Source organism: Homo sapiens, chromosome 3 (assembly GCF_000001405.40).
Source record: "Homo sapiens chromosome 3, GRCh38.p14 Primary Assembly".
In the NCBI taxonomy this organism is placed as follows: Eukaryota; Metazoa; Chordata; class Mammalia; order Primates; family Hominidae; genus Homo; species Homo sapiens.
Window position 1 is genome coordinate 170,994,112 of NC_000003.12, and position 15,263 is coordinate 171,009,374.

Here is a 15,263-nt window from a genome sequence, read left to right on the forward strand (position 1 = left end):
TACTGTGAGAAGGAAATGAATATATATAATAAACCAATATCAGTTTTTAAAGTGTGTTTTTTTCTATGTAAATGAAGCAACACTAAGCATTCAGAAATGTATTTATTGACATCAAACTATTGTATATATATGTGTGTGTGTATATATATATATATATATATATATATATACTTTTAACTCAAAGTAATATCTTTTCATGATCATTCTTTTTAATGTGCACCAAATTAGCAGTAAAAATAGCAGCAGATGGATCAGAGTGGTTGTCAATAAACCTTTTCTCCCCAGGTTACTAATATACAATTGCCATGAAAAATAAAAAAAATATATATATATATTTACACTTGACTCATCACCTCTGCTTAGGACCCTGTAAGCACAAGATATTGCTGAACTGCTGTATTTGCTACATATGGAACAATTAGACTAGCAATAAGAAGTAGTTTATGCATGTATGCTGGCCTACATGTATATACCCCTTTCGCAATTACTGAGGATTATCAACAAAGTTTGGTCTTGTCTTGTGATTATAATTCTATTAAATTACATTTAAATGTGATATACAGAATTTTGTTTTATAATTAGTATTATTCTAAGAAATAATAGTAATATAGACCCTGTAAAAATAACATAACTTATGCAAAAGCAAATTCAGAAAATGCAATAAAAATTCTTATAATCTTACTTAGAAATATCAGGTTTGGATTTAGGAATTAGATAGCCTAGTATCTCTTCTGATTCTTTGTTGTTGTTGTTGTTTTCAGGGGAGCGCATGAACACAGTCACCCACTACTACAAACTGTGCAGTTGGGTTTCCCACATTTGGGGAAATGGCAGGGGTCAGCACATCTGGAGTGTAATGGATGAGCCGTGCCCTGGAAAAACCACCTTTGTGATTGTGATAGCTCCTCTGCCAGGTTAGTAATCTCTCCTGATTCTTACCATTCCCTCGTTGTGAGATTGTTTCTTTGAAGTAAGAAAATATTATCTTGAACTTATAAAACTCTTTTTTTTTTAAAAAAACAAAAATTTGGAACTATCTCATATATGATAATTCTTTATCCTAACAGTATTGCTATGAATACTAGTTTTAGGTAGCACTTATTGAGTACTGTCTTTGTACCAGGCACTATGCTTAGCACTTCATGTTTAATCCTCACAACTCCCTGAGGTAGGTAATATTACTGTGCCCATTTTACAAGAGAGGGCTCAAAACCCAGGTTCATGGAAGGCAAAAGACACAGATGGGGATATTAATACTCTGGCCTTCCTGAACTCCCCATTAGACTGTGAACTCCTTGAAGTGTAGGGGGAGGGAGCAATGCCTTACTATATCTTAGCTACATTACAGTGCTGACCATGTAGAGGAAAGTAGGGAGGAGGAAGCTAAGATAGGACCTTTTCCTGGGAGTCATGACAGTGGGCAATCCTAGATGTAGCAGGTGAATGCGAGACCAAAAACTCTAATTCTCATACTTCAAATGAGCTAAGAGAAAAATCACATTTGTAAAGGCATTAGAGTATAGAAACACTTCCACAAAAATGAGAGAGTACATGGAAAGTTAGGTGTTCAAATTCACATCTAATTTCCCTGGGATTAAATTTAATTAATTACTGTCAATTTGATTTTTTATTATGATGTATACCCTTGAAGACTTAAAATTTTTTTATTATAGTAAGCTAGTTCTTTGGTCCTCCTATAAAGCTTTATCAGCTTCTTCTTATTTCCCTTTAATGTTTCTTGTCAACTCACATGTATCTCTGCAAGGAAAAAGTTGTAGAAGGGGAACAATATAAGGTACTTAAATTTCTCTGAGGCAGAAAACTTCAGGGTCTGAATTTCTGGTGTTTGTGGGCCAGTCAAAATAGTGAAGAAGCACTTAAAAGTGGTCTTTGGAATTTTTAATTTAAATATTTACCACTTTATTCTGTTAGTAAATGAGATCAGGAATAGTGATTTGATTAAATCACATGTATCACCTATAAAAGTGTTAAGCTCCTTTATCATTGTTTACACTGGGCTTCCCAAAGGCCATCAGCATCCTGAAGAAGCATACAAGAGCCACCCAGGAGCCATTTTCCTGCTCCTGCCCTATTCAGAGACTCTCTATTTTTGTCCAGAGTTCACAGTTTAGCACAAAGATGTCCTGAGTTATTTAAGCTTATTTTGACTGTATCCTGAAATCCCAAGTGAAAATAGTTTATCCCAAATTGGCCCAAATGAAAAACAAATCACACTGAAAAGAAACAATTTCTTGTTCTTTGGACTGCTAAATTACATATATGTGAACAACTTTAGAAAACAAAGCAAATGTTCAGTGGTTTTTAATTATTTCACTCTTAAAGAGTACTTTTTAAAAAGTGCTTTTCTTCAATACACATTAAAGCAAACATAAGAAGGATTGATCAGTGCTCCAGTTGGTGGAGAAAACAGCCTAGAGATACGTTAGCACCCTGCTAAGCTTTTGGGACCCATCAGAACTATATTTCCATAATTGTAAAATTGACTGTAAGCTAAAGTCTGTTTAATCATCTGTGTATTTCCAATTTGCCTATGTAGGTAAAGGCAGATAGATAGTGTACAATGCGTGTTAGTAATGGCCATAGAATAGTTTGGCTAGAATCTGTATACAGCTAAGACAAAGAAGGAAATGTCAAAGGAGACGATTATTTTATGTTAGGAACACACCATAAAACAATCAGTCTTTCCAGGAAAATTAAATAGGGATTTTGATAAAAGTCTGAAGCTGAACATTTATGAAGTTTCAGAAGCCCACACTCAGGAATCCTCAAACCCTACCTTTTCAACTTATTTTGAGACATAATAATTCAGAAAATATTTTTAACAAAGTGATCAATCCTTTACTTCAAATTTTCTTACATTAGATTTGATCAAACTTATTAGGAATTTGAGGTAATATACCAAATGTCTGACTCATGATTGTTTGAGTGTATGTGAAAACCAGGCTGTCCTCAATTAAAAAGCAAAGCAAACTATAACTCAAAGGATTGTACCAGAAGGGAATCAACATGGTTTTATAATAGATGTTAATGTTAACTGATAACCCACGCTATATGATCAGGTGAAACCTTTTTAGTGTTAAATCTTGCAAAAACCATTTGGCCATTAAATAAAGGAACTAAAATGGTTTTCTTTTCTGAGTGCTGAAAGATTTTGATAAGCCTACCAAAAATGAAAGTTTTTCTCTATAGACATTTTTTAGTATACTCTATAATCCATTCCACATGAAAATACAGAACAAAAGTAAAATTTTAAGCAAAATACAAATTCTAGTACTCAAGAAAAAAGCTGAGTGCAATAAATGGAAGAGTTGTCTATTTTAACATGGAACTTATTGCCACTAGCCATATCTCCTTTAACATAAGATATATGGGTAAGAAAATTCCAATTTAATGATATTCAAATATATAAATATTTGTTGCATCCTCAGGTTTCTAGTTATGTGTTAAAAAAATGATATGTTGAAATCTCTTCAATTTTAGAAGAACCTTGTTATAAAGAACAGAGCTAAAAATATTAGAACCACCTGCCCTTTAGTGTAACAAAATAAACTAGCCTTTTTGGTTTACTTAATTACAGTCTTACCATCAAAAATATATTCTCTAACTTAAAAAAATACTTTTTTGGTAATATTTGATGACATTTCTGATGAGAGCACATAAAAATAAAACAATACTTAAAGATGTGGATATAAAATGCTCAAGGAATCATCATTTAAAAACAGACGGTTCCCTTATTGTTTCTGTTCATGTCAAAAAGCAGGGTTTTTTTTTTACACAGTCTCTGTAGCTCCTAGGAATTTCATTTCTACAGCAGCTTTTGGCCTGTGGGCTGAGCCACTCTTCTTTTGGAATTCTGCAGCAATTTCCTCAAAAGACTTTCCTTTGGTTTCTGGAACTTTAAAAAATGTGAACAGGGTAAAGGCCAGGAGCACTCCAGCAAAGAGGAAAAACACATAAGGTCCACAGAAGTCCTGGATAGAAAGCAAACACAGACTTTGAGTTAGCAGTTTTTTGACCCTCTCTTCTGTTCAGTAAATCTGTGGAATATTAGGCTGCTTACCGCAATGTACTGGAAACACAGAGCTACAATGAAATTGCAGGTCCAATTGCTGAATGCAGCTATTGCTAAAGCAGCAGGACGTGGTCCTTGACTGAAAAACTCAGCCACCATGAACCAGGGGATCGGGCCTGGCCCAATTTCAAAGAAGCTGACAAAGAGGAAGATGGCTATCATGCTCACATAACTCATCCAAGAGAACTTATTCTGAGGAAAAAAACAAAAACAATAGTGGGACTGAGATCATTTGGCTGCTTTTTCCTTTAGCTAAGTAGCCTCTGAGTTCACAGGCGGCATACAACTTTTTCTAATGTATTTTGTTCAAGCAAGTATAAGTTATTCTATTCTGAGAGAAATTATTCTAGTCTGAATCATGCATAACTCTTTAGATTTCTTATAAGGAAATCCTCTGGATTAGGATTTTCCTGTAAAAGAGGCAGGGCAAGGATCCAGTGACCTTTGCTTCTGCTCATACTAAGGTTTCCAGACAAGATGTTTAGCTCCCTGTGAAGTAGTGGATGACAATGCCAGGAGGGCAGAGGTTCAGGTACATGCCCAAGGTCACACAGGAAGCCATGTGGCAGAGTCAGCATTAAAACCCAGTTGGCGGTGAATCCAGAGCCTATGCTCTAACCATGGGTACATGGCCTCCCTGGATGACAACCAGAATTTACATGCTGATATTCAGTCTTAAACCCAAGAAACTAGTTCATCTTTTCTTTATATATCTCCTTTGATTTTATGCTGTTGCTCTGGCTTTATTTCGTAAGTCAGTCTCAAATATTTTTGAATACAAAGCACTTTAACCTGGACCACAGAGGTGCCAGGTACCATCATATGTTAATGAAAAACCTCAGTGCAGGCACCAAACTTACCAGCAGCACAAGTCCCACTGACATGAAGATGGCACAAACAAACATCCCACTCATTCCAATTAGAAAGAGAGAACGTCGCCCTGCCTTCTCCACAAGGAATACCTAGGACAATTTTAAAGAAATTATCTCAGTTTTGTGAGTCACAAAATATTGACTGTTTACTTAAATCATTTTTACTGCCAAAGAGGTCATTTTAATTTATATAACAGATAAGAGGCAATTCCATCCTTCCATTTTACAGGAGTGAGATCAAGGTGGGGAGTGACTCTAGCCCCAGGTGGCAGAGCTAGTTTCAGTGGACAGCGGGTAATGATCAAATATCTGCTTAATTTAGTCACATTGGTTTGAATAGACCATTATAGAGATAGAACCATAATGTTACCACTACTCCAGGATTATCACTTTGGGTACAATATTCACAGACTGTACAGCTGGGGTCTCTTCCAATAGATGTCCTGTACATTTAAAATTTGAAGGTTCCACATTTAAACATGACATTAACTTATTTTCTAATAGTTATCCTAAGTTATAATTACAAGGGTCTGTGCACTATTGACACCGGAAACAGTACAACTGTTCAGGTGTCAACTATTCTCATCCAATTTTCTCACTGCTTAATAAAGTCCTATTATGACCACTCACCTAGCAACATGTGGAATTTGATAATTGAACCAAAATAGGCCTGCATTTTTCTGGTATGCTTAATTGTATCTTGTGCTGGGAGTGAACTATTCGTTTTAAAAGTTAGCACTTTAAAGCAAAGGGTTAAAATGCTTTCTTATCTTAACTGAGGAGATACGTCATTGATTCCTTTAGTTTTGTGGACCTTTGCATTAATGGTTAAGTTTTACAATTAGCCAAGACCAGAGTTTGTTATACTCTTGCCTGATCCTTGGAATATTACCAAGGCTGGTGAGTCACTCTCCCCCTCACCCCCCACAAAACTTCCTGTCATAATTTCTCACTTTGGCACCTGGTGAGCAAGTTGGCTGGCTCATCAGCCTATCAGTAAATCAATAGCAATCCAATGTCTTTAGTATAGTGAGCTCTGGCTCTGAAGACATCTTAGAAACATTTCACCTACAGTGAAAGCCTGTTTCTCAGAGGCACACTCATATCAGAGTTTTAAATCACTTCAGATAAGATGATAAGCTAAGAGCACATATTTAATTATTGAGAAGGAAGTTGGAAAAAACAGACTTTTCTCAAGTTCATTAAATTTCTCTCTATATTTTAACTCTTTTATTATGATGTTCAAAACTGGCTTGGTGCCACCACGTCAAGCTACCAAGAAAATAGAAGCATTTCTTTGTGAATAAGCTCCCTTACTATAAACTCTAAAACTGAACATCTTGAAAATTGAGTTGGCCTCTGTCCCTGAGGCCTGGTGTACACTCAGGATGAGTGTGACAAGGAGTGAGACATGGTCAGTGGCTGGAGATGTCTTCCCAATTAGAACGCTCATCTTTGCCCCAGGGCCTCACGCAAATCCTGGGCTCTTAGTTCCAATTTGGTAGTCACCGCTTCTTTCTCAGTGTCATCCTGCTTCCTAGATCCCTCCATTTTCTTTCTGCTTTTTTTCTCTCAAGATTACAGGCCCTCTTCTACCAGCCCATTAGTGTGGAAGAAAATATAGGATGTGGAACACAATTAGTGTGGAGTTGGGAAAGTCTCTCTTCCCAAAAACAAACTGATGTTCTTCCAATTTGGTGAAACATTAATATATTCAGTGCATATTTCTATTTGCATATTTTTATTTGAAAGTACACACACAATTTGGTAACATTGGTTAATTTTGGGGAGAGAAACTGGGTGACGGAGGGACTATCCTTTTTATACTTTTTGAACTTTAAAACAATGTTTCAAAAATTAATATAATTAAAAATTTTAAATGTGATCTGTAGTCCTGGAGGCTTAATTAATGATTTGGACTGGTTTTAAAAGATTATGTCACTTCCCTGTTCAAAAACTTAAACAGAATCAAAGGATGGACTCTAAAAAGGTACATTCAAAATAATTAGGACACTGTCTTAAACAACTCCTCCCACATCAGTGGGGTTGGGAGCAGGGTGCAAAAATGAAACTTTACAGAAGTTTCCTCTTTAGATTTTTTCAGAATTTAGGCTACCCAATCTTGACAATTTGATGCTTTACATAGAAAATCCTATTATACACAAAATGTTTTAATAATAATCTATCATAAAAAATATGTTGAAGAATTTGTAAAAAATATTCCAGGAGACAAAAGGGTGAATAGTCCCTTGGATTGCACTTCAGAAACAGGTCTTGATTGATTTAGAGTGGCCTTTTGGTTTAAACAGGCCTTATCTCTAAAGGTATGTCTACAGAACCATTGGTGTTTCGTTATTATCTGTTTTTCCTGCTCTTTCCAAGGTCCAGCACTGTTTAATGTGGTCTGGACAAACCTGCCTTTTGATCTGGGTAGCCAGGCTGTAATTTATTGATCACCCTAAGGTAATAGTTAAGAGTTCATGTGCAGAGAATAAAAAACAAGTGACTAAATTATATTGAGTATAGTATTGTGACTAAAATTGAAAAGAATAAACTTTTTGCTGTTTTTATCTTGTTGAACAAAGATAAAAATAAGCTCAATGACTCTCATTCTACAGTGAATTACATTAGTTGGGGAGTTTTTGTCTTTATTGTTGTTTGTTTACTTCTTAGATTATTATGTTAGATATTCTTGTTGTCAGGTTCTTATATATCCTTAATATATAAGAACCATCACTTCTTATATATCCTTAATATATAAGAACCATCACTTCTTATATATCCTTAATATATAAGAACCATCACTTCTTATATAAAGTTATTTGGTTTTAAGAAGAGTATATGACTTTTTTTTTTGTTGGAAGAAAACAATAACATTTCTAGTTACTATGTCACTTCCCTCATAATCTCACACATACTCTCATGCATCACCGGAAGCCACAACCTTGTGAACTACTTGGAAGCTCTGCTCAATGGCTTAATACCATTTGCTGAGTCTGTTTAACTTTGCTTAAAGGCTTAAATGTCTGTTAGAGAGGGCCTTGTTTATTTATTTTTATATGTTTCCCCCAAGGCACATGGTAAAAAAAAGAATTTGAACTATGTAAAAAGAGGAATCTAAGTAGACCATCCAATATCAATAGAAATGACAAGCTGTCAGCTACTCCCAAGGGGTTTATGTACAGAGAAAAGAAGGAACCTAGGAATCTGCACAAGGAGGAAGTTCTCTGTGTCCCCAAGTGAGTTAAAAATTCACAAATGAGTGACTAAATGGCATCCCAGCAGTGCAGAGAATCAGCGATTCACCTCAGTTATGCCTAATCTCAATGCAGTGGTTGGCTTATTCAAACAGGACTCTTCTCATGACTCACTTGGGTTTACACACTTAGAGCATGTGTACAATAAGTCATTGATTGCTTTTAGAGCCGAAGTTCCCCACCCCTCCTGCAATTTCTGGACTAAGGAACAAGCAGAGTATTTATCTAGGGCATTGACTTACAGAGACAGCAGTGAAAACCATGTTTACAGCGCCAACTCCAATGGTTGCATAAACAGGTTTGCTGATACCAGCCGTCTGAAAAATGCTGGTTGAGTAGTAAAAAATCTGCAAAGTAAAAACAGGTTAGCCTTAATCTTAAGAAGTCTGGCACTGATATCTTTAAAGCAAGAAATATTTTAGATTGTTTATTTTTAGTTGTTTCTATAGCGGCATGCACCCTAGAACTTCGTACAGATTTTCTCCTTCCAAGGAAGAGAACCCTCAGTCTTCCTTTAGTGTTTAAAGCTTCTGATTGCTTAAACGTCCTCCTTATATTTAGTTGAGAACTCTGCTACTGCATTTTCTTTATTTTTGTAAATAAATTGAAACGTTTTGTTAAAGTATAATATACATAGAAAAGTACACATAAATATGCAGCTTAATTAATTTTCACAAACTGAACACACCTATGTAACTAGCACCCAGATCAAGAGATAAATAATTTCCACCCCTCCAGAAACTTCTTAAATCTCCCTTTATCACTTATCCCAAGGAAACCACTCTTACAACTCCTGACATCATAGATAAATTTTGTCTACTTTTGTACTTGATGTGAATGGAACCACATAATATGTATCATTTTGTGCCTGGCTTCTTTTAGTCAACATTACCTTTGTGAGAATCATCCTTATTGTGTATTGTAGACAGTTCACTATCATTACTATGTAGTATTTTATTATATTAATATACCACGATTTACTACTATTCTATTGATGAGTATTTAGGTAGCTGCCATTCCTAAATGAATAATTTACTATTCATTAGGCTATCAGAAATCCTCAATTCAATACTCAACTCTAGAAGCCACTTGCAATGTAGTTTTTTTTGGGGGGGAGGGTGGGAGGCGGGTGTAATTATTCTTTTTCCCTCCTTGTATTTATTTTGATTTTTGCCTTTTGCCTTCACCTTAATATTAAACAGACATATAGTACCATTGACTATTGACGTTTTTAAAAATTGTAATTTTAGAAAACTTGAAGCAAAACGAAAGTTAATGCTCACTCAATATATATTTGTTGTAGCAAGACACATCATGATGTCAACATTTTTAAATGTCTTTTAGCTATTGATTATGAATAGTAATAATGAATAGTGATTATGAATAGTGCTGCTAGGAACATTCTAGTACAATCCTTTTGGTGGAATATGTATGCATTTATAACTAGGAATAGAATTGCTGGACCATGGTGTAGGCATGTGCTCAACTTTGATAGATATTGCCAGATAGTTTTTGAAAGAAGTTATGACAATTTTACAGTCTCACCAGCATGTATAAGAGGTCTAGTTGCTATTGCATTTAATCCAGAAAATTTCACTAGTCTCAGTAGACATGGAGAAATTTTGTTCACAACCTTTCTAATAGCCTTTTAAAATTTAGTTATGTTTATATATTTATGTCTTTTAGGTCATTCTGCTATCCATCATCCTTTGTCATTCCTTCCCCACCTAACGTGTCCTATTGCTGGTACCTCTTCCTGCAGACAGGACTGAGGTAGAGGACTGTGCCAACTGTGTTCAGTGCATAGAGGCCTACAGCACGCTTCACACTATCCCACCATTTTTAGGCTGCCCAACAGCCTCAGGTTCAACATTTCCTAGATTCCTCTTTAAGTCAGGCACTGGGATGGAAGCTGAAACAGTAAGGTTCAGAGAAATTAAATTTTATGCCATTGAATATACAGACAGAGCTGAGATGGGAGATATGAGTTTGGTCTCTGAGCCTCAAAGTTATACAGAGTATTAATAAAAATAAACATCAAGGACCTCTTAAAGGAGGACGGAGACCACAGTGGAGTTTGTGGAGTGAGGTTCAGGTCTCATTTTGTTTCAATGGATGGGAATTACTTCCTTTGCCTCCCCCAAGTGTTTGCCCATCTCTCAATCACCCACAAAGTGTCCCATGTGGATTTGGCATTGGCTCACTACAGCAAATGTCCAGTTTACATTTTTAACAGCAACAAAAGGGGAGAAGTGGTGTTTTTTTTTTTTTAATCTAGTTTCTTAACAAATGCTTAATTTTTTCCTCTAGTAGTCAATTGTCAGTAGAACCATCTTGGTCTGCATGATGCAGGGGTTTCAGTGTAAGACCTAAAAGCTAGCTAGTTTAATGCTCAGTATGTTTTTCAATCATGTATTGTCTACCGTCCTTAGTCAACAATATCATGCCAGTTTACTCTATTATTTATTTTGTGTGCTATCTCCTCAAATGGAGTGAAAATTTCTTAGATGGCAGGAACTGCTCTTTGCACCTGGCTATCTGGTATACTTCATTTAAATAGATAAAGGGAACCCTTGACTCCATTTGGCTTGGGCTATCAGAAATCCTAAATTCAATACTCAACTGTAGAAGCTCCTTGCAGTTTTTTGGGGGAGGGTTGTATAATTATTCTCCTTTTCCCTCCTTGTATGTATTAAGATTTTTGCTTTTTGCCTTCACCTTAATAGATATATAGTACCATTGACTGTTGACACTTTAAAAAATTGTTAAGTAATTTTAGAAAACTTTTGAAGCAAAATGGAAATTAATGCTTACTCAATGTACGTTTGTTATAGCAAGACCCATGATGCCAATACCTTAAAATATCTTTTAGCTATTTAAACTTGTACCCCTTGCCTTCCCTATTTTAATTCACTGTGCTCTTAAGAGTTAGTGGGTGTTCTTAAACTTACGCCATTGATTCCGGAAAATTGCTGAGCCACATGCAGCATCAGTGCCACTAGAATAGGCTGTCGGTAGCTGGAATTGGTGAAGAGCTGAATTATAGAGACTTTCTGCTCACTCGATGCTTCTTCTCTTTCTTTTCTCATTTCATTAATATCTTTGGTGACATCATCATATCCTCTGAGTCTTTTCAAGCCTGTCCAAGAAAATGATCAGGTTGAAACAACTCAGGCCAAAACAAAAAGAAATTTATTTTTATGTTAATGAAAGAGCTACATTTCTGCATGCCCCATTGTATTACTTAATAGCATGGGTGTTGGAAATTCTTTTTTTGTTAAATTAGATCCTGCTCTTTGATTTAAAAGAAAAATAGAACATTTGGCTTCATCTTATGACAAATAAAACTATGATCCTCATTATATTAGAAGCATAATGCTGGAGGGATCTTTTAGAAACCTCTGGTTGAGTCTAATACCGTGTGTATGGATTTCTGGTTTCGGCTTAAGTGAATGCCTATGGGTGCCAAATGACATGCACCAGTCATATAAAAGCGATTTTGCACATTCTTCTTACATTTAATCACCAACTTCATGTGGAAAGCACTGTTTTACATTAGCTGATAATGCCAAAACAATAGGAAGAAAGAAAAACCATCCACAGACTTACTTTGTTTTGCTTTGACTTCCTCATCTAACTTGATGTAAAGGTATCTGGGGCTTTCTGGACAGAAAAAGAGTAGCAGAGACTGAAGGATGGCTCGCACACCAGACAGGCCAAGCAGGATGTGCCACAGATCATAATTGCCCAAGATAAATTCAAGACCAATAATCTGAAAATGCAAGGAGGAAGTATATCAACTACATAATACTTTGGATCTACCTTTTACACTAGTTTGTTGAAAAAGTACTTTGGCTATTTAATAGTAGTCTCTGACAACTTTGGTTCAAGTAAAAACGGAAACTGTTACTATTGTATCTCACTTTAACTAAATTAGGAACTATTTGTTATATAAGGAATTAACCTAGGTTTTTTTATCTCACTTTAACTAAATTAGGAACTATTTGTTATATAAGGAATTACCCTAGGTTTCATTAACTCCAATTGGACAGTCAGGATGAGAATCAACCAAGCTTAGGCAAAAATACGTACTTGATATCTAAAGCAACACATAGCTGTATTCTCCAGGCAACCAGATAGAATAATACTGTGTTAAAATCATCCATGACTTTGGACCTTTGCTTGATATTTCCTTCTTATATTACCCAGAACTTATAGAAAGGGGTTTTATAGATAGAACAATTACTGTGATGAGAACTGTCTTGGCGATTCCTATGGCAACAGTTTATAGACTACCCTCTGGATTGTCGTAGGTGTGGGGTCCCAGACTCCCTTTGACACCATAGGGTAGAAGGGAAGGATAGACTCAGCTGAACAGGAGTTCCTGTGGCAATCACTTACATATTAGATTCCCAAGTAAGATGTTTAAAACAAAGGAAACCCAGGCAGTCAAACACGAAGTTTTCTATTTCTTGACATCTAAATGGAATAATTTAACTCTAGAATAGCTCTAAAGTTAAGACCTGGCTTGCCAGGTCACCTCCAGTGCTATCCCACCAACAATTCCAAGGGGAAAAGTGAGGAGTGATAATAATTTACCTTTGAACGAAAAACTCTATGTCTCTACACCACCTCCACTACCACTGGTAGAATTGGCTTTTCTCTCTGTGCTGGTCTACAGTGAGAATGGACAGTCAGGGAGGGACGAGATGGATGAAGTGGAGGAAGTACAGTAGGGGATGCAATAGTAGTAGTGGTACTGTAGAGGATGAAGTAGATGGGTGCAGTAGGGGATAAGGATGGGGAGTTTTTACCTGACTAATAAGAATGCCCGTGACGATGGCCAGCTGATGAAAAGTGCCAAGTGCTCCCCTGAGAGCGGTTGGAGCAATTTCACCGATATACATAGGAACCAGGCCTGAAATTAGCCCTGCATGAAACATAAACATAAATGTTAAAGTGCAACCAGGACTATCTCAATAATAACAATTTGGTTTAAGTACAGTATATATCTTGAATGAAAGCCCCTCCCTGAATTCACTGGAAGGATGAACCCTTGTTCCTAGGTATAGACATAGTTTGTGCAGGAGATATTTGATATGACCTCATATGCAGTTGTAGTTGGAAACATGAATAGAAAGAAATGCTTAGTCATGTATTTGACAGTTCTTCATTACATCATCTTATTTAATTAAAATTCATGTTAATTTTTAGTTTACATCATAATGCCTTAGGTTATCTTCAGAAAAGAAATTGAAGAATGTTTTAATAATATTCTTAATTAGGGCTCATGGGATTAAAGGAAATCAGAACATATCTCCACCAACCTCTTGATAGATGTTGAGTAACAACTTGCCAAAGATCACAAGCAACAGAGCATTAGTGTGAGAACAGCATGCCCTATCTGAATTTCCACAACGTAGAGGGCCCTCAAGATCACTGTTAAGGTGGTGACGAGGGGCGAGGGGAGGTGCAGAGAGGTAGAAGAGGTTAAGGATCTTAAGGACTCTTCCCCAGTTAGAAACCAGGGAAACCCAGCTTCTTTATTCTATTCAAATATTAGGCTTCGAAAAAATTTTATTTGAAGAAAGACTTTTGGTACTTAAACGAATACAAAACATTGGAAAGCACTAGCTCATTCTGCCTTCTGAAGCTTTCTTAAATGCACATGTAATCAGTCGTGCTGGAAATGGTGGAATGTCCAGCCATTTGCTGACTGCATAAAAAGTTCAGAGACTATCGACAGGCAAGGCTGAATTAAATGTTTGGCATTTTCTTAACTATTTAAAAATAGGATTTGCAGAGGCTTCTTCTTAGAAACTACCTGCCTATCAAATTGAAATGGATGATCTTTGTGTAAAAGATGCTTTGACAATTGTTTTCAAAATATATTTTTTAATGCTTCAAATTGTTCTTAATGTCTCAAATGAACATTTACATGTGTGATAAGGTATCTGTATTTCAGCTGAATTTTACAGGTGACTTTTAATGTGTAGCCTGTTGATCTTAAGTAAGAAAAAAATCATTTATTTGGCTCAATTCTAAGTTGTACTATCTTTCTGTAATAGCTAATACTATACCTGAAAAACAGAATAATGTAGATAAGCTCACAGGTCTGAAGTCACATGAACTTGAAGTCAAATTATATTTCCTATAATTTTTAGGAACTTTAATGCTCAGAATAGGGCCAAACATAATTTTAGAAGATAGTTAGGGAGTACAAGTTGGTTGGCTATGCTACTTAGAGGTTGTTTTACAATATATTTATAGCATTTGTTTTCAATTTTACCAAAAACATTTTGTATATTTTTTTCACACTGTATTTTTTTAAATGGAGAGAAAAGAAAGAAGAATCATAATTGGGACTTCGTTCATAGTGTTATTATCTGCATTTTATGGGAGAAGAAACTGAGGCTCAGATTTAATATTTAAGGCCATGCAGAGACAGTGCCAGAATTTATTTGCTCTGAATTCAAAGCCCTTTCCACATTTGGGGTTGACTCTTTACCTTGATAAAGCTACACTGATCTTCAGTTATTTTTATTAACAATGAAAATAATAAAAAGAGATTTAATTAGACTGTTAACTTGATATTTTAGTCTTTTGCTTCAACTGATCATTGAAGATACATGGAATTCAAGTCTTTTCTGTAGGTAAAAGTGTTAAAAATACTTTTATATACAAATCTTACGTCCTCACCACTCCTTCCCCATCCCCATGGATAGAGGTGCCTTGAAAGGCAACTACGTCTTGTGAAAATGGGTTAAAATCTCAACCTAGCACCGTCAAAATCAGAGCTTCATTGGCAGAAGTTACAGATTTAGCCATTTGTTTTAGAGAGAGATTGAATGATTCTCCCTTTCTTCAGATGTCTGCTAATTAGTTGCCTCTGAATGTTTGAAAAGCTGTCTCCAAGAACTAGCGATTCCCACTATTCAGAATAAAGTTTGTGGGAGGAACCTCCTTCCTTTATTCTGAACTTTTAAATATCAGCTGCTTCTCTCTGATTCACTTTCCCTATGGACACCACCACTGTAATGC

General features: G+C 35.8%; 1 protein-coding gene and 1 pseudogene across 5 annotated transcripts in view; both read right to left on the reverse strand.

Annotated features, from left to right (window-relative positions):
* On the reverse strand, window positions 759-921 carry RNU1-70P (RNA, U1 small nuclear 70, pseudogene; annotated as a pseudogene).
* The window catches only part of SLC2A2 (solute carrier family 2 member 2), a 30,374-nt gene continuing 17,346 nt past the window's right edge, over window positions 2,236-15,263 (reverse strand). For all 5 annotated transcript variants that reach the window (NM_001278658.2, NM_001278659.2, NM_000340.2 and 2 more), the window contains 7 exons: window positions 13,037-13,152; window positions 11,832-11,994; window positions 11,174-11,361; window positions 8,465-8,569; window positions 4,954-5,055; window positions 4,082-4,285; window positions 2,236-3,992 (listed from right to left, as the gene is read on the reverse strand). In NM_001278658.2, the coding sequence (NP_001265587.1) occupies window positions 3,792-3,992; window positions 4,082-4,285; window positions 4,954-5,055; window positions 8,465-8,569; window positions 11,174-11,361; window positions 11,832-11,994; window positions 13,037-13,152 (1,079 nt within the window). In that variant the 3' untranslated portion in view covers window positions 2,236-3,791. The remainder of the gene's footprint in view (window positions 3,993-4,081; window positions 4,286-4,953; window positions 5,056-8,464; window positions 8,570-11,173; window positions 11,362-11,831; window positions 11,995-13,036; window positions 13,153-15,263) is intronic.